Below are 20,398 nucleotides of genomic sequence, written 5' to 3'. Positions count from 1 at the left end.
TGTTGATTCTCTATTCCCTAATCTCCCTGTCTCAGAGTTGAGGATACAATCTCCCACATCACAAGGGTGCAATTAATTAAGGTGTAAGCATTTTCCAACCTGTGGATGCAGGTAACAGGTGTAAATTACCATTTGAAAGAGTGATTCATGTCACCAAGACTAACTGCTGACTAGGGAGGCTTAAATCAATCCTATTTGAAGTTCTATTATTTTTTTTAAATGCTGACAGAGAATCCACACTTACATACAGCATTTCACAGATAAGATATGCTCCCTGCCCTCTGGGTCTGCCATGTCAGTGAAACAGACGGCGAGATTATAGGATAAATGTGGAAGCAATGGGCAGGGAAATGATGAAATGACGATAGATTTTTACAATCCTAAAAAAATTCTGGAGTAGCATTACTAGTAGGTAAAATGAGACTTAGATAATATTAAAGTAGCAATTTCTAAATTCTGATGTTTATCTGAAATTTTGTAAAAGTACTGAGCGGCTACGCTTTAGTTGTCTTCATTGTAAAAATGTGTTTTCAGAATAGGTAACATCTCCCCTGCTATATTTACAATGAAATTTGAAAATCAAAAACCATAATATTTAATGCACACAATTTCTGTTTATATCGTAATTATTGTTAAAGTATATTACTAATAATGAACAATCATTTCCTTTTAAAATTAGGTAACTTGGCTTAGATTTTTGAGGTGATGCATGAGGGAAGGTAATTTTCTATAAAGAGAAGCATTTAATATGCCTCTGAAGCCAAGGTCCAACTCGATGTAGAGAATTAAAGTAAGGGATAGAAGATGAAAGGGAAGATGATGGAGGCAGGAGAAATCTATTAGGGAGGACTATTGTGGCAAGATAGGATAAATTGAGTTTTTGCTGGATGGGATAAATCTGGATAGTTTTTTGTTTGTTTGTTTGTTTGTTTTGAGACAGAGTCTCACTCTGTCACCCAGGCTGGAGTGCAGTGGTGTGATTTCCACGCACTGCAACCTCTGCCTCCCGGACTCAAGCAATTCTCCTGCCTCAGCCTCCTGAATAGCTGGGATTACAGGGGCGCATCACCACACCTGGGTAATTTTTGTATTTTTAGTAGAGATGGGGTTTCACCATGTTGGCTAGGCTGGTCTCGAACTCCTGACCTCCGGTGATCTGCCCACCTCAGCCTCTCAAAGTGCTAGGATTACAGGCTTGAGCCACCACACCCAGCCTAGATAGTTTCTAATATAAAAGACAAAGAGCTACAGAAAAGTAGCAACTGAGTATAAAAGTGAGTATGAAAGTGGAGGTGAGAAATTTAGGAAGCACTGGGAGTTAAAGGATTGGATGGAGAAATGATTTTAAAAGGGGGATGTCGGGTAATGCCTGTAATGATTAAACTGTCTATGCAAGTAAGGGGCCATGTTGAATAAAAAGCATTGCCAAAAGCTTGTTTTTATATCGTGAAGTGAGTTTTTGAATTGAAGTTTTGAAGCTCTGATGTAGATTCCAGTTGTATAACATGACGCAATTGGAGTTAGCATGTTGAAGCAAATTCTGCAGCAAAAATAGTCCTCTCGATATTTCTCCCCATCCTCTTACTCCATTTTGTTATATTTCTATTATTAATACAATGCATTGAAATGCTATCTTCTGTTATCTGAATAAAGATTCTCTAATTTTACTATCTTTTCCTGGTGAAGCTTAAAAAGACATGCTATCATTTCAATCAATATTTTACAATTTGTTAGGCTGCTGCACATAGTTTGATAGACCTATTGATGGAGCATGCTGTTAGCATGTTGCTGTAAGATACCATCCGTGAGGTCCACTTTTAAGGACCTAACAAACGTACATTTCTATTGGCTTTACATGAAGCTTTAACATTATTTTTATTTTGCATTTCATATTTTGTACTTTTGGGAAACTGCCTTATAAAAAAATCAGATAATATTACTTTAAAATTACTCATTCCATAAGTATTTTCTGAATGCTTACCAACACACTATGATTCCTGTCCAAAAGTAAACTTAAATAAAGAAGAGTCAAGAAGAATTACAAAAAAAAAGTCATAAACACTATTATGTGAATAATTACCAAAAAAGGCAGAGACTTGACCAAAGGAAAAGTTACTGCACAAAATCTATTCCTTATTCCCTAACTGTCCATTAATAGATTCTAAGATAAAACATCATTTCATGACAAAATTCTTATCTTCTAATTTCATATAAAATGGATTGTTTCAAGATTTGAATTTTGATTTTAAGATAACTCATTTTGATTATTTGTAAAAATCAAGTGCTCGCAATGACATGTACTCTTTCCCTCCCTCCCTCTCTCCCTCCCTCCCTCCCTCCCTCCCTCCCTCCCTCCCTTCCTTCCTTCCTCTCTCTCTCTCTGTCGCTTTCTTTCTCTCTTCTTTCTTTTTTTTTTTTTTTGACAGAATCTGACTCTATCACCCAGGCTGGAGTGCAGTGGCACATTCTCGGCTCACTGAAACCTCCACCTCCTGGATTCAAACGATTCTTGTGCCTCAGACTCCTGGATAGCTGGGATTACAGTCATGCACTACCACAACAAGCTAATTTTTGTATTTTTAGTAGAGACGAGGTCTCGCCATGTTGGCCAGTTTGGTATCCAACATCTGGCTTCAAGTGATCCACCCGCCTTGGCCTCCCAAAGTGCTGGGATTACAGGCGTGAGCCACAAGGTCCAGCCATGTATTATTTCTTAAATGCAATAATCTTATACATTTTTAAAAGTTATTTTGGCGTTGAAAAAGAATATGAGCCACATGAGGATTCTCTAGATGTATGATCTTGCGTATAATTTATACAAATATAATCCTATAATTAGAGGCCAAACTTTTTAAGAAGGGCGTATCATCTGATAAAAAGTTTCTCTGATCTTAAGAAGTTGTTTGTCATAGCCTGACACATGCAGATAATTATAAACAAATAATTTTACTAAGGCAGATATACTAAAACTTTTTAACAAGTTAATTGAAAATAAAATAAGTAGCTCTATACTTTATCTTGCTGCTTTCGGAGATTGAGCAATAAAATGAGTTAGCCCCATATAGATATTACGTACTACTTATGTGTAATTAAAATAATCATGAAATGCCTTGAAAATAATTAAACATTTAATGGAGGAAAGTCATGAAAGGCTTAAGTTAGAAGAATCCCAGCACTTATCTAAGGAAGTGATCTCTTATTCTTTGTAAGTAAGTTTGAAGGAAACTGGCAGATAATAGGAATATTCTTCTAAAGAGTTAGTTGTATATGTTTCCAAAGGCCCTTTTAATTCCTTACACTGAGATGGAAAGAAATTTTTAAAAAGAACAAAATCTATTGAATATTTGAAATAACACTGAATAATAAAAGTTTTTTTCTTTTAATTTGCATTACATCCAGTGAAATATTTTATTAGTTGGTATTGGGAAGGCCAACAAATAAGAAAATACAATTCTTTAATCTGACATCAACATCTGTCCGCATCCATTCATAAACTATCCTTCCAGCCTTCACTTATCTTATGCTCTTTCACATAATCTATACCTCAGGCAAACTAGACCACACAGAATTTCCCAAAGGACATAAGCCTTGCTTTTGTGAATATTCTTCCTTCTACTTGAAATGATTCTTTATTCCAAGATCGACAGTATTGACAATTTTGGTTGGACCATTCTTTGTTGCTGTACTGTGGATGGCAGGATGTCTAGTGGCATTCTTGACTTCTACTTACTAAATGCCAGTTGCATCCCCGTTGTTGTGACAAACAAAAATGTCTCCAGACATTGCCAATGTCCCTTGGGGGGTCGGGGAGGTGTCAAAAATTCTCCTCATTGAGAATCACTGTTTAATCACTTTATATGTGCTTGATAAAATCTTAACCATCTTTCCTCTTCCAGGCCTACATCAAATATGATCTTTCCATCCTCCTCATATTACCACCACTTGTAACTCTTCTTCAAATAACCCCATTTGTCTTTATATTACACGTACTTTTGTGCAGATCTTACCTACATCACTAGAAAGGAAACTGGTTGAAATCTGGGATGATGCATTTTCTGCCTCAGTATCTTCAAGAGAGCTTTCTTGGGAAAATGCCCTACACCTCTTATTTGCTCAGAAACCATCAAATATTCATTCTGCAATAAACAAAATTATGATCATCAACATGTTCTTTGCCCCTATACAACTGTCTTGTAGTTTTTTAAAAAAGCAAAACATGATTAATGTTCACCAATCTGAAGAATGGTATAGACAAGTTCTATTGTCTTTTTTTGCTTGAAACTGGAGAGTAAGTCATTGTTGTTGAATTCAGTAGCTGTCTTGTCTTTTCTTTTGCAGATAAAGTTCATTACTAAACAAATTAGCTCTTCAGTTACTGCTGCTAAGCCATAAGTAATTGAAATTCACTAAAACTTTCAGTCTTTTTTTCTACTTGTTTTTTTCTTAGCACCAATAATTTAAAATAAGATGAAATTATGCTGTTCATGATTAAAATTATATGTAAATAAAAGTGTAACTTGGCTCTTATCCTGAAGACACAATTTGGAGAACAAACTTCAACTTCTTTTTCTTTTTCTTTCCCTCTTTGTCTATAGCTAACCCTGGCTAGTCTTCAGATAGCATTCCTAAATGCAAAAGTTTGGGTTATTATTGGTAATTGAGCAAATAACTACATGTCTTTCTCCATTATTTGTGAGGAAGAATAACATCCTAGTACTAAATAGCTGGCCCTAAAGAAGACAAAGCAATTTGAGGATACAAGGAAGGATTGCTGAGATGATGCAGCAAGGGTAGGTCTTATAGGACAAATGAATATAACTGGCAGTCTTGCTGCTGAACACCACTCCCATACACACATGCACACACACATGCACACACACATGCACACACACAAACATACACACGCAACCCACACAAAGGCTGTCCTGTCAGTCATAGTTAGAAGTACTAATGACTGCAGAGCTACAAATTCACAATTTGTAGCCCTGCATTGGGTCTTTTGAGTAGCTAATTCATTCATGACTAGAAAACTGAGCTTTTCTTCAAGACTTGTTAGAACCCAGCCTAGTCTAGTGGGTTTGTTTTGTTTTCTAAACTACTTCTGCATTAGTCTTTCTTTCTCTGTCTTTATGCTCAGAACCCACAGAGTTGCCAAGGTCCATTCTAAGACTGAGGCCTAGACTAGTGTATGATCCTTAGGAACTTTATTATGCCTGAACCCCAACCCAGAGCTAAGGGCTTCATACCAGATCTACAGTATCAGGCCTATCTGCCTGCCTGGAGTTTCCAAATGTTGCCCGGATTCTTCATCTGGTATTCTACTCACTTATTAGAATTCTGGACCACTCCATCTAGGGTATAATATGAATGGAGTGTGGCAGATTTAATGTGCAAACCCAAGTATGTCTGACTTCAAAGTCCTCTATAAACTTCCTTGCTAGAGCTATGAGCCAAGACTTGTCAGTGCTAAACCGTTATAATAGCACCGCTATTTCCCAGGAAAATGCTGGAGTAATGTGCCCTCAAAGCCTTCAGCTGTGCCTGCAAATATCTGGTTTTCATGCTCCACTCAGAACCCACTCTAATCCAACACTTTGTTCTAGACTCCATTGACTCCCATCTGCTGAGCGCCCCTCTAGATGTCTGGGCACCTAGGACATTTCTGACTCTGTTTTGATGTTTGAGACCCACCATCTTCAGAAGCAAGCTACTATTTTTAGTTCATGGTTAGTTAAAAGTACATTAGGTGAAATAGGCACAGAATCTCCAACACCAAAAAAATGGACTTATAGGCCTTTAATTTGGTTACAGTTGCTTGTGATGCATTAATGTTCTATAGCTGTTTTATGCTGGTCAGAGAGCACAAATGATTAGCAGTAAAAAGAATTAACAAGGCATTTCAAAATCAAAGAAATGATTAACAAGGCCTTTCAAAATCAAAGAAATATTTAAAATTTGCTACACTTCAGGTGGTAGAGATAAAATTTTGTAATTGTTTCTGAAATTTCTTGCCACCTTTGCCAAAACTACATTTCTTCTGCCCTGCTGAATCAGCTGTTCTGGGCATAGTCAATCATCAAAATATATCAATGTCACACAACCAGTTTGGGGTTGCTCCTCATTACTGGGATAATCGCTTTTATGACACAATAATTTGTTTTTCTATTTTTTTCATAAATATATTATCTCCCAAAGCCTCAAATTATTCTAGAATGAGCTTCTTTTTGGAAGATTAGCATGTTTTTCGATGTTTTTCATCTCATGCATTATCCATCATGAAGAACTGTAGCTCATGTAAGGTTAAATTTAAAATGTTACCTCAATACCTTTAATATTAATCCTAAAGTTTGGGTATTTTTTTTTTTTTTTGAAGCAGGGTCTTGTTCTGGTGCTTAGGCTGGAGTGAAGTAGTGCGATAAGACCTCGCCATAACTCCTGGTCTCAAGTGATCCTCTTACTTCAACCCACCTCAACCTCTGGAGTAGCTAGGATTACAGGTGTACCACCATGACTGGTGAATTTTTAAATTTTATTTTATTTTTAGAGCAGGGTCTCACTATATTGCCCAGGCTGGTCTCAAACTTCTGTCCTTAAGAGGTCCTACTACCTCAGCGGCCCAAAGTACTACAATTTGGGTAATTTCGAAATGAAACACTTAACTTCCTCTATTCTGTTTTAAGGAAGATTTTCACATTTAAATAATTAAGCTTGAGTGTGGTGTACTGCAGGAACTTTGAAACAAAAAAACCCAGGGATTTTAAATAAAAGAACATTCTTAAATCCTCTTATTCTAGGAATATTCCTGTGTATAACACTGCATATCATATAACTTTTTATATATCCTAATATCACTATAGCTATGTCAGCGGACATTATTTAAGGCTACTCAAAGTCAGTACCATACAAAATAAATAATTTGGCTTACCTAAGAATACTTTCTAGAGTATTTCTCTTGTATTAAAAAAAATTAAAAATAAAAGTTATAAAAGGTACAAAATGACCATGGTCATTAATAAGTCATCTAAATACAAAAAGTTGCAGCAGCTAAAATTCAATTGGCTAATTTAATTTCCACAGGAAACTGAAGCATTTCTACAGTTAAATTAAATCAAGTTGATAAAATACCAATAAAGGATAAGCAGGATTGATACAAAGCAGGTTAGTTCACATGGAAATGTTACACACAGTAATTTCAAGGGAACCAACAGTCAGAGACATAATCACTTTTAATAATCCATTTTAATGTCAAATATACTTGTATATAGGAAAGCATATATAAATATTATGCATATATAAATGAAATACAGGCTGGGTGCAGTAGCTCACGCCTGTAATCCCAGCACTTTAGGAGGCCAAGGTGGGCGGTACATGAGGTCAGGAGATTGAAGCTATCCTGGCCAACATGGTGAAACCCCATATCTACTAAAAACACAAAAATTAGTTGGGCGTGGTGGTGCATGGCTATAATCCCAGCTACTCAGGAGGTTGAGGCAGGAGAATCCCTTGAACCTGGGAGGCGGAGGTTGCAGTGAGCTGAGATTGCATCACTGCAATCCAGGCTGGTGACAGAGCTAGACTCCGTCTCAAATAAAATAAAATAAAATAAAATATAATAACATACATACACATACATAACATATAAATGTGAATATAGGAGTTTTAAACTGAATAATGTAGAATATTATAAAGAATAGTGAAGGGTTCTGTATCAAGCAAACAACTAAGGTGTCTGATCAAATGCAGAGCGAAATTTTTCTCACAAAGAACATAATGCCTATTTGTGATGAGGTTCCAAGAAAGCTTAGCTGGCAATTTAAAGAGTCCTTGGGGGGATTAATTTAGCTACTCCACCAAGACTTAGCAGAATGGCAGAAAGAGTTGGGTCTGGTAAAGATAAATTTATCTTACTAGTCAGCAAAGCTGGGGCTGGGTTTCCTTATGGCAAATCATGAACGAAAGTTTGTGGGACTTCAGCAGAGGATTCTAGTGTTATAATTGCATTAGATTAGTTTTTTAAAAAGTTTAGAAATAGATGTTAGCATCTTACTCCCATTTTTACTTAAAATGCAATAATTTGAAGCCTTTGCGAGAATACTACCAATAAGCTGACTTTTATTAATGAACCAAATTATAGATCAACTGAGGCAATCAGCTTTGTGACATCACTGAATGCATTTCTTTTAATGTGGTAGTCATGCACCATTAGGCCATGCTCTTAAAACTTGAGTCCACAGGTGTGTATGTGTGTCTATGTGTGTGTGCAGGTTTTTTCCCCCCAAAGGAAAGCCAAATAGTGCAACATATTTCTATGGCAAAAATAAGAGGTGTTACAAATATCAATAATGTGTAGAAACTTTTAATTATGTGGGAAGCCAAGGTGGCAGAATGTTTTGTCCCAAAGAAAGAAAACTAGGCAGGCAGGAAAGCATGTATGCTAATACATATTTGCTCACAGACATATACACTTTCAGCTTTAAAGGGAATACATAAAAATTATGCTGCAGACAATATCTGCATACAAATTTATCATAGCATCTGTCAGCTCCATAATATGTTCATAAAACTACGAACACGTGTTGTAACAGTATGCTCATTTCGGTATGCCCACTGTTGTTATCTCAACTTCCCTTGCTGCTAGCCTGGCTGTTGCCGATCAGATCATAGCCTCGGGAATCCTTGCTACTTCCACATCAAAATGCAAAGTTTAAATTTAAAAACATCAAAGGTACAACTTGTGGCACAGAAAATAGAGGCAAATGACACTGTACTTAGAAAGATAATTCAAATAAAATGTCTAAAATTGGAAGGAACTCAAGAAAAATGTCATAGATTAGTGGGTATAAAGGGAGAAAATGTTAGAAGGTTAATGAGTTATTGATAAAAGTCTAATGCTGGCAAATATTTTGGTTGTACCAAAGTCAATGTGACCTCAATGTTATTTGGAATTTCTCAGTAATGGCAGTGTAAGACATGGCATATAACAGTGCGTGGTAAATTGTTTGACACATACTAGTAATTATAGCTATGTGAAATTCAAAAAACATGTATACCCACAAGTGGTTGTCTAAAAACGTTTGAGTCTTATATGTTAAGCATTGTTACTTTTTTAGTCTGTATGTCCTGGAAACTTCCAGCATTTTCCACAAAGATTTTAATAGAGAAAGGGTTTTTGTTATATTCATACTTTCAGTGGGTGCCATAAAATATATTCTGTAAGTTTTACATTTACGAAGACTGGACTTGCAAAATGCAATCTTAATTAAAAATCACTAGGCTTGGAATCTCTGAAATAATGGAGAAACTGGTTCTTGATATATTTGGGAAAGAACAAGAAGCACTTAAAATGCATGATTGTGGATGAATATTATAGTGTGAAAAGATAGGTTTTAGATTAATTTTCTAGTAAATAATAGGCAAGTGGAAACATTTCTTTCTTCATGCATCTGTTAACTACCTATGATAATTAGAAAATAAATCATCTACTTCAAAACAATCTCATATATCTCCTTGGTACTTAAAGAACAACGCAAGACTGAATCCTTGTTAAGTGGGATCAAAACATTTCAGCTGAACAACAAGAAAAGAAAAAACGAGAATCCTCCAAATACTTCCACTCTGCCAGAGTTGGGATTTCTTCCAATTATTAGAAGAACTACATAAGAAACAAGTCACTCTCCTAATGCTGTTTGTATACTAACAGCCATTTCATTTAGCTTTTCGTAGCTAAAAATGAAAGGGCAGATGCTATGCAAGATGTTAAATTCAACATGTCCTATACGTGAGACAATTTCTCTGAAAATACTGAAAAAATGTATGTTAACCTTTCCTTTTCTTGGATATCTCTTGAGAGAAAATGACACAGAATTGTGAGTTTCATTACACCAGCTAAAAAAATAACAAATATTACCAGCACCATAAACAGGATCACGATTTCTCCATAAGGTTATTCACTGAATAACTTTTAAACATTTAAAAAGTCACACAGGCCGGGCGCAGTGGCTCACGCCTGAAACGCCAGCACTCTGGGAGGCCGAGGCGGGTGGGTCACCTGAGGTCAGGAGTTCGAGACCACCCTAACCAACATGGTGAAACCCTGTCTCTACTAAAAATACAAAAATTAGTTGGGCATGGTGGTGCGTGCCTGTAGTCCCAGATACTCCAGAGGCTGAGGCAGGAGAATCGCTTAGAACTCAGGAGACAGAGGTTGCAGCGAGTGGAGATCGCATCACCATACTCCAGCCTAGGCAACAGAGTGAGACTCTGTCTCAAAAAATAAAAATAAAAAGTCACAGAAAACCCAGGTTCCTATGAGAATTTCTTTAGTAATTATAAGTAAAATCACACATTGTTTCTCTGAATAATATCTCTATAGTATGTAGATTCAAAGAAAAAAATGCTTTGAGAAAGTCTTTGAAGTGAAAAATAAATGTGATAAATTGGAAAGAATATATCCATCTTCAGTATTATACACAAACAGGTTTAAATTATGGTACTGATTCTAATATTTATTTATGTCATAATCTAGAATCATAAAATTTTCTTGAGCTTCAAGTTCTGTATTTCGTAAATAGAAATGACAAGAATAATTATAATAGCTACCATTTTTAAGGAGAGCCTAATATATTTCTGGCACTGAACCAGGAACATTGAATAGTAACCTGTAATTTTTTCAATTCTCCTATTAAGCAGATATTAGTATCTCAGTTTTTAACAGGAATAAAAACTGAACTGAGAAAAGGAAAGTAAAATATGAATAATATCTACCCTGAAGGTTTTTTCACGTATTAAAGGAAATTGTGTTTCATTCAATGATTAGTTGAGTGCTCTGAAAAAAGCGCATATTTTTCAAATATTATTCTCCACAGTTCTCTATTCCACTCCACTTTTCTGGAGTATATCTTTCCTCAAACACAGAACTCTCTTCAAACAAATCACTACCCTTCCACATCACAGAAACTAGCATTTCAAAGTTTTAATGCTCTTCTTACTGAAAAGCATCAATCCCTGATTCCACCCAAATGGACATCAAGGTCTCCAAAGCGTCTGACAGTGCTTCTTTTATGCTGTGTCTCATTACATTCCCTGACCTTGAGTTCTACTACTTTGTCCTTGCTGGGTTTGGAACGCTTTCTCTTTTACATGTCTCTGAACATTCCTTCTGTATTCAACTCCTCCTAAAACCTGAGTATGATTTCTAGGAGCTTTGTTTTGTATTCAGTCTTTCTTTGCTATAATAGAATGTAAGGTAGAGAAATCCTGTAGCCTAGCTTTTATGTACAATCATTCTTCTGTAATTCTAAAATAAAATTTTTAAACAGGAAGGAAGGAAGGAGGAATACAAAAAAGGAGGGAAAAATTGACCCTTACATGAAAGTAGGAGAGCAGCGAAATGAATAGTCATGTCAGATCATTATCATACTTACGTTGTTTTAGTTTCTTACCTGCACACACATATTATTTTGCTTACTCCTAACAATAGTCCTGCAAATGAGGAATTCTCCTCAGTTTTACTTCAGGTAATTTTAGGTTTAAAAAAAGAAATGTTGAAATTATACTGCTAAATTAGAGAGAGAGCAGGAATTTGATTCAGGTCTGTCTGACTATAAAATTGTTGTTCTTCCCAGCAATTCTTTTAGAAGGGGAAGCTTTAGATGTCAGGACAAGAATAGGGATAGTGAAATATAAAATACACGCAGGAGCCTCATCTGAGTGTCATAGTCTATTTTTACAACCTCCAGACCTCTTTAAACCATAACCAGCTTCCATGCAAACTGCGATTCTGGTGTTGCCAATAATCAGGTCTGAATGGGAGAGTCAAAGACTGTACTTTTTCATTCCACATATGCTTTGCCAATTAAATGCTCTGCTTTTAAACCTTGACCTCACTGCCTAGCCCACTATCTCCTTAAATTCAGAAGTGCCATACTAACATGTCTTAAGTTTTGTTTCAATGTCCATTGCAAACATTTGCCGGTTTCGCTCTCATTTCCTTTACCTATGAACGCAATCCCCTTGTTCTGAGCAAAGATAGTTGGCATAATTTACCTGATTATGTTACTTCCATTTCCTGTTTCTCCTTTATCTTTCCCGTGCTTTTCCTTCATCTTAACTGTTGGTCTATTTTATTTTCATTTTCCTTATCACACTCACCGTATTATTCTACCTTGCACAGCAGCTTATGACACTTAGTCATAATTTCTACCCCTATGTGTAAGCTTTTTGAAAGACAAGGGCCAAGTTTGACTCAACTCTGTATTTTTCTAACCAGGTAGCCTACTCATAATAGTTTTCAATCAACAGTTATCAAAATACAGACAAATTTGGTATTCATACTTTTTTCTATGGAAAAACTGAAAGTAGGAATGGAGGAAGGTTTAAACATTCTCCTCACCTCTCCTGATGATAAATATGATTTACACTTGCAATACCTGGGTTAAAATCTCTTTTTGACATTTATGTGGTCTATCTCTGATCCAAGAGTACGTTTCAATTAAATAAACATATAAGAAATGTACGAAATATTCAGTCATGCATTATTCTTAAAGTATTTTACTTTCCCACCAAGCTTCAGAAAATGTTTTGCCTCATTACCTAAATAGATTTAATGATACAGTAAGCAAAATTATGTACAATAAAACTAAGCACTAGGAATTTTCAAGCTTATAGTGTGAATTTTTAAAGTCATTACTTACTCTACCGTTAGAAATAATCATCATCAACTGTGAAAAATCACAAAATCTCCATGGTGCTAAGAATACCTTTATCAGTAAACCTAGGAGGTGTTTTCCACATTAAACACATGAGATTTTTAAAAATTATTATTAATCCCCAAAGGGCACTCTCATACAATCTGTTGCAAACAGAGTCTACTGCTACAGAAAATCAACTCTCACTACTATTAACTATTAAGAAGCCTTTGCAGTTTAAACACTGACTTCCTTAAAAGGTAATTCAAAGGAAGTGTTCTTTATTTCACATATTTAAACGACAATAATTATCCCTAGAACATCCATTAAGCAAAATAAGCTGTGTTAAGTTGCCTAACCTAACCAAAGGTACATTCACCTTATAATTTCAAAACTAAAGATACACTTTACAAAGATGAACGTTGCTGTTTTGTTTTTATTTTGTATCTTTTTATTTCCAAAAGAAAATAACTTCCTCAGTGAATTTTCTTCTGTCATAGCAACTCACTAGATGCTCATCCAACCATATTTTTCCCCTTCCACATCTCTAGATTAGACCATATTTACTCACCTTCCTTGAAATTAGAGACACTCGTGTCTCTGGACCTGAAGAAGTGTGCCACTCCCAAGACTGACCCATTAAAAAAAGTATTGGTGCTGCACTTCCTTTTCCTTATCTCCTTGAGGAACAGAAAAGACTCCAAAGTCTTGAGAGAGGCTGGAATTACAAGAGGTAAGGAATCTGGGTCTTTGAGTCCCGCAGAAAGCCACCCCCAGGACACCCACACTGAATTATATAAGCAAACAGTCAATGTATGTTGGGTTAAAGCACTAAAATTCTGGGGCTGTTGATTACAACAGTTAGCATATTTCTGACCATACAAAAGGTCAGAACTGCCTTTTTCAAAGAAATATAGTCCTTTCATTTGATTAGTTTCTTTCTAGCCCATGTTGGTCGAGACAATTCCTCCATAGAAGGTCTGAAAGAGAAATCAGGAAATGAAGAATTTTTGTTTGTGTGGTGATGAATCTAGTTTCTGGTAGTTATAACCTGCATTTCCCTAGGGGCTATGTAAGACCACTTGAGATAACAACTGAAAGTGTCTTAATGAATTAGAGGTAATGGCATCTAATTCTCTGGGCCTAGTGCCATTGGAGACCCTTATCCCATGACTTAATCAACAAAACTGTCAAATGTAATCAAGACTTATGTTTTCTTTTCCCATGCACAGTTTTATCTTATAAACTGATTAAACATGTATGAAACATTCGTTGGTCCACATATTTCTCAGAATATTTTCATAATGTGTTATTTTTATTTTCAAATGTAAACATAGGAAATATTTTCTTCCAATACACACAAATATCTTCTTGAGTTCTACCATTCAGAAGGCAAAATAAAGAAAACGGAGGAGGAGAAAAAAATAAATCAATTTGGATGAGAATCTTTACACACAATCAGTGGGTAGAAATCAATGTGAATCCTAATCAAACATGGATTTCACAGTGGGAATATATACAGCCCTGCATTACTCAAAGAAATGGCTAGTGTGCTGTGAACAGTAGTAATTAGGCCTGGATTGCATTTGAATTAAAGTAGAGAGAATCCTACTGTTAATTTACTAAACTAAGATTGCTGGGGTGTTATGGCTTGTGCCACTTTATAGAAGACAAAGTGTTTAGTTTCTGAATCCACACCCTTCTGCACACAGGTCCTGAAGTACTTTTTTTTCTTGCTTTTTAATTGTTTTCTTTGTTCTGGAAGCCAGCACTGGATATCAGAGAAGAGCTTAAGAGGGCTTAACAACCGCAGTGACTCCGAAGTTTACAGTGCAATTGTGAATTAGAACTTGATTCGCCTACACTTTAGAAGCTGTTTTAATATCCAGTGTCTCTTAAGTACTCATATCAGACACAAACACACACATACACACACATAGCAAGGGTGAACGTGCATGTGCACGCGCGTGCGAGAGAGGGAGAGAGAGAGGAGAGAATCTCACGTACCTGTACCTTGAAATAAAATCCAAATAATGAAGGGAAAATGCTTTTTATCTCTAAAGAATTTATAGTCACTGCATGATAGAATTCTCACTAAGAGATTCCATTCATTCTGACCTGTGTTGGGATTTTCTGAGGAATGCCACTGTTTATGTTGATCCTCAGCTTTTACAACGTTGAAATGGAAACACAGATGAAAAATTAGGTTAGTTTTTGTTTGTTTCTATGGGGTGTCCAGGATCAATGGGACTAGGGGTCTGTATAGTTTTTACACATGGATACATTTACTTTTCTATTTTTTCCTTAATACCAGGCCACGGTTATTTCTGTTTCAATAACAAGCCACTTACTTCATTTTGTTTGCAAAATTGCTTTCAAAATGAAACATTTTACTTCTGCTTGTAAAGACCTCTACCTTCTTTGCTTCTCTCATCAAAACAATATCCCCAGCTCCCCACTCCTAGCATACCAGGTACTATTCTTCCAGGCAGCTAACAGAATTCTTCTCTTATGTTATTACATGCGTACCTGTGGGTGTGTGTGCATGTGCGTGTCTGTACATGTGTGTATATGTGTCTTTAATGAATGGTTCCTCTCCTGTAGTTAACTGTGGGTTCCACAAAGGCAGAAATCCTATTTCTTTTTTTTTTTTTTGACAGAGTCTCGCTCTGTCCCCAGGCTGGAGTTTAATGCCACAATCTGGGCTCACTGCAACCTCCACCTCCTGGGTTAAAGCCTGCCTCAGCCTCCCAAGTAGCTGGGATTACAGGCATCCACCACCACACCCGGATAATTTTTGGTATTTTTAGTAGAGACGGGGTTTTACCATGTTGGTCTCTAACTCTTGACCTCAGATGATCCACCCGCCTTGGCCTCCCAAAGTGCTGAGATTATAGGCACGAGCCACCATGCCTGGCCAGGAATCCTATTTCTGTAGGCTAATCATTTTATCCCCTGGCCCAGACATGTGGCCTCATGCAAGGTAAAATTTAATCAACATTTTTACTAAATAAATGAAATATGATCATGCTTTTTAATTTTTGAAAAGCTCTTATGTTAATAAATATAACTCTAGCAAATCATTTTAAGACTATATATTTAATTTTATAAATATATCATAATTTGTGTAACTATGCCCACATATATATAGACATTTATCTTTTTTTTTCTTTGCAGTTACCTACAATGGTGTAATGGACATTTAGGTAAATACATTTTGAGTACTAATTCCCTTCTTAGGATCAATCCTCAAAATGGAATGTTGAGTCAATAGTCATATACAGTTTACCTGTGATACATATTTCTGAACTACTCCATTAAAAGTTGTGCAGATATATACACTCTCACCAAGTATAAATCAAAGTGCCTATTTATCTTAAGCTTTAATGACACTGTATACCATACCTATATTTTCACTTTTGCTAGTTATGTGGTGAAAAAGCAAGGCTAGAGATATTTCATTTCCCTATATCTCTTGGCCATTTTCTGATTTTTTAATACATAAGGATTTTATTTTCAAAAGTATATTCTGGTATTTTTATGAAGTTGCTAGGAAATAGAAAATCATGGTTGGAGAAGCAGTTTGTAAAAACAAATACATAAGCAAACAGCTGCCTCAATTTCTGTCAGGTATTACAAATGAGATGCTGCAAATTGTCAGTGGATTTAGAGTGCCAGGTAGTTGCAGATTTTGGCTCAATTTCCTTATTCTATCGAAATATACACGACTTAGAGAAACTTTATGTCAAATCTTACAGGAATGCAGAATAAAATGGGAATAGCCTCAAGGCTTTGCTTTTATTTTGGGATTGAAAATGATCAAACCAAGGAAAGAGAAAGCTAGATATCATATATAGGTCCTGAATTGAAAGATGTTGATATAGAGACAGGTACATGCCAGGTAAATTGAAGTTTAAGGATACTGGTAGTAAGTGAGGAAAAGGTTTAAAGGAATCAAGAATGTTGTCTTAGATAGATGTAGTTCACTTCTACTTAAAATTTGACTAGGTTCAAACATCGTGGTTTTCTGATCAGAATCTTTCTCCCCAAGTTACATTGGTGAATATTTCCTTTTAGTGATTCAGCTGAACTAAAAATAAAAATGAGATAAGTAGTGATATAGGGAGAAACTCAAGTCAGACTAAACATATCAGAATTTTGCAGAAGAAAATTTTCATTATCCTGTCAATCACCACATGCTGATAATCTTCTTTTTCAGCCTTTTCACCAAGTTAATTAAGGTTTCCAAATATTCATAAGATTGAAAAATGCCAAAGGTTTGAAAAATAAAGTTTCACACTTTGATGTTACAAATCTGGGGATTATTAAAACTGTCTAATTTATAATTAAAACAAGACTGAAATTGTCTTTGAGTTACTCAGGTAAGTGGAAAGTTTTATTGCTTAACATTATTGGGTATAGGTATCATTATATTAGTTTTCAGAAAAAAAAGAAGTCCTGTATTAGTAATGCCACTTGAATGCTGCCATGATTACAAGCCTCTTATCTATTGATCATCATTGTATCTATATTCAAAGATAAAATCAATGTACCCTCAACTCTAAAAAGAGTTCTTTATCTATCCCCGCCTTGAGCTAAGTATTAATTTTATTTTATTTTTTTCTCTCTATATTGTTTTCACTACAACAGCCAATCAAATAGATGACACTGCTTTCATTATACGATCATTATTGTTGCTTTTTGGTGGTAGTGGTGGTGATAGTGTGTATGTAGGTATGTGTGCATATGCATATATATATGTGTGTGTGTCAAATGAATCTTCATATCAGAAACTTTATTAAATAAAAGATTATTCTACTTAATTTCTTCTACTCTGGATATCTTCATTCAGTCAATAAGTGATTCCGAAAGTCTGTTAGGCATTATGTGCAGGGAACTGTTTAGATCCTCCCATCTCTATGGGACCAGTGTATATATGAACAAAAACAGCTAACAAAGTCCTTGCTGTATTGAGCTTACAGTATAGCCCTTATCACAATGCTGTGCATCAAATGGATGTAAATTATTTTTTAAAAAAATAAGAATAACTATTACTTAATTCAATTTTGGATTAGTCCCATAAATTATGTCTTATGTTAACTCCAATCCAAAAGATAGAATTAAAAGCAGACATTTGGAAGATAGTAAGATTCAGACTATGCCTAGAAGGTAAAGGTGCATAATAACTGCTTCTTGGGCAGCTTTTACAGTTGGCTAACTGGGTGTACTTCTCTGACACCACTGGCAACATTGCTAACGCTTCTCTTAAATGGGTTTTCACACAAATTAAATAAATCTTCCTGTCACACATAGTCCAGAAGAGCTCAGTGTTGTAAACAAGAAGAATACCCAACTCTCTCTCTCTCACACACACACACAAACACATACACACACCCAGCACATGCACACACACCCAGTACACACACACAGCACACACACACACCCAGCACACACACATATGCACACACACTCAGCACACACACACACCCAGCACACACACCCAGCACACACACACACCGAGCACACACACATGCACACACGCACACACACACACACAATAGCCCTTATACTCAATTATTTGCTTTGAGACACTGTATTGAGACAGCTCATGTAAGAGTCTTTTCAATGAAATTATCCTACAAATGGATTCCAGGGTTATTTTGTCCATTTAATTTTATACAAACAGACCACAAAATTATTATTTCCTTAACAAATGCTACCCATCTTACTATAACATTGCTTGTGATAACCTGCTACTTCCTACTGATACCACTGCATTCCAGGGGTCCAAGAGCACCAATCCCACTGTAGCCTTTGTAAGTGGTGCCCCCTGGAGTTGCTCAATGCACAATCTGTGGCTGAATCATTGGTTTAGATGATGGCCTTTCCCCCTCTCCTGTCTAATAAAAGCAATAGTGATGTTCTGCAAAAAAAAAAAAAAAAAGATCTGTCTTTTTCAGTTACTTGCTTAGCAAGCTCATGTAGTAAGTCATATGCTTCTAAAATTAACAGGAGCCAAATTTTCTGAAGAAATTATTCAAAAACACCTAAAAGAATGTTCACAACCTGTTTCTTAGTCAAAACAGTCCACCCAGAAAGTGGTTATAAAGATCCATATGGTCCTCATAATCTAATAATTGTGAATGAAAAAGTAGAAAGAACCTGAACATTGGTCATTAATAGCTGTTACTTTAATGTCCTTGGACATTGAGAAACCACTTCATTACATTTTTGTAATAGTTGGTTGAATTTGGCAGGTGGAATGTTGGCCTGGAGTGATTTAGTTGCATAAAATAAAATGAATTATATTAAACTCATCCGCCATTCCAGGCCCATCTTTTCTGTCACCAGAAGCTATGTATCTTGGTAACCATACCATAAAATTAATCTGTGAAACTGAAAGCGTGTACACATGAACATAACTAATACATTCAATTTCAAAATAAATTTAAATTAGATATTGACATTTTATGTGTTAAATAAAGTCTGTACTTACAAAAGTGATCTATAATTAATATTTCTAAAGATTCTCCTATGAATAAGGCATTATGCTGGGTAGTTTGGAAAGTGCAAAGAAAACAAACATTGTCACTACCTTTAGAGACTTTATGATATAAAGTTATGTATTAAAGACCAATATACTAATAGTTTTACTCTTCTAGAAAAGAACGTGTTAAATGATATAATGCAGACATGGGTAAAGGCTTATGAGGGAGTTCAGAGACAGATTCTGGGTAGTGTGAGATTTTAGAAGAATTAATAAAGGAGTTGGAATTTGTACTGGGCCTTAATGGAGGTGCAAGGATTTGACGTGTCACGCTTGTAAAATATGATTTTTATATATGTATTTTCATGGCAATTCTTGATTGATAGGGACAAAGTGTTCCATGGTTTGTGTTATATGTTTCCATTTGACAGACATATCTTACTTATTATGTCAATAAAACCTATAAAACACACTGGGAATCATCACGTGGGATTTCACAGTACACCTCTGTAAGGATGTATTCTACAACTGTCATGGACTTGGCATTTCATCATAAAGTGCGATGTGGATTGGATTTATTTGCACAATAAAGCAACTGGTAGTTTGCTGAGTTTATGCATTCTGATTTTCTGACAGAAAAAGACAAGGGCATGAAGTAGCGCTGTTTCCATTATGAGAAAGAACAAGAATGAAACTTAAAGGAACTTTCTCATTGCCAAGTCTGGAGGGTCAGCCATTGACATATATTCAGGTCAACTTATGGTGACAAGGTATTATCATTGGTGATATGGAAAAACACAGTTTCATTGAAAAGGAACTTCATCACATTAAATTATATTTATTTATCCATTCTTCTAATAAATATTGATTGCCTTTGCTGTGCATGCAAGAGAATTTCTCTCCTCTCACATTAGCTTATATTCTAGAACTGAGACACATATAAGAAACAAACACATAAATAAACAAGTATTTGCCAGGTAGGGGTAAATCCTGTGCAGGAACTTAAAATCAAGTGAGAGAAAGTGAATGAGTGGCTGGAGAGGCCTCTGTAAAGGGACATTTATCAGAAAACTAAATGATACTCCAATTCTAAGAGATCATTTTTCTGTGATATCATTTAAGAAAAGTACATTATTAATTTTATAGAATACATTACATATCTCAAGTTTTATAGCTTTCTCTACATCGTGGGTAAGTGACAGAAAAAAATGTATTCTCATTTAAT

The 20,398-nt window shown here is 35.6% G+C and overlaps 1 protein-coding gene across 2 annotated transcripts in view, besides 2 other annotated features; it reads right to left on the bottom strand.

Moving 5' to 3' along the window:
- Positions 1-20,398, bottom strand: part of PCDH7 (protocadherin 7) — a 426,432-nt gene that overhangs the window by 111,774 nt on the left and 294,260 nt on the right. The gene's annotated exons all lie outside the window — the stretch shown is intronic.
- Positions 8,763-8,932: an enhancer, noted in NCBI's record as "experimental_78356 CRE fragment used in MPRA reporter constructs". NCBI's record gives its function as "activates a minimal promoter by MPRAs in K562 erythroleukemia cells, with activity observed for the non-introgressed 4:31027802 variant allele {active_cell/tissue: K562}" and the evidence as "EXISTENCE:reporter gene assay evidence [ECO:0000049][PMID:34662402]".
- Positions 9,156-9,325: an enhancer, noted in NCBI's record as "experimental_78350 CRE fragment used in MPRA reporter constructs". NCBI's record gives its function as "activates a minimal promoter by MPRAs in K562 erythroleukemia cells, with activity observed for the introgressed 4:31027409 variant allele {active_cell/tissue: K562}" and the evidence as "EXISTENCE:reporter gene assay evidence [ECO:0000049][PMID:34662402]".

The sequence above is a fragment of the Homo sapiens genome, chromosome 4 (genome assembly GCF_000001405.40).
Source record: "Homo sapiens chromosome 4, GRCh38.p14 Primary Assembly".
Lineage (NCBI taxonomy): Eukaryota > Metazoa > Chordata > Mammalia > Primates > Hominidae > Homo > Homo sapiens.
This window is presented reverse-complemented; position numbering and strand designations above follow the sequence as displayed.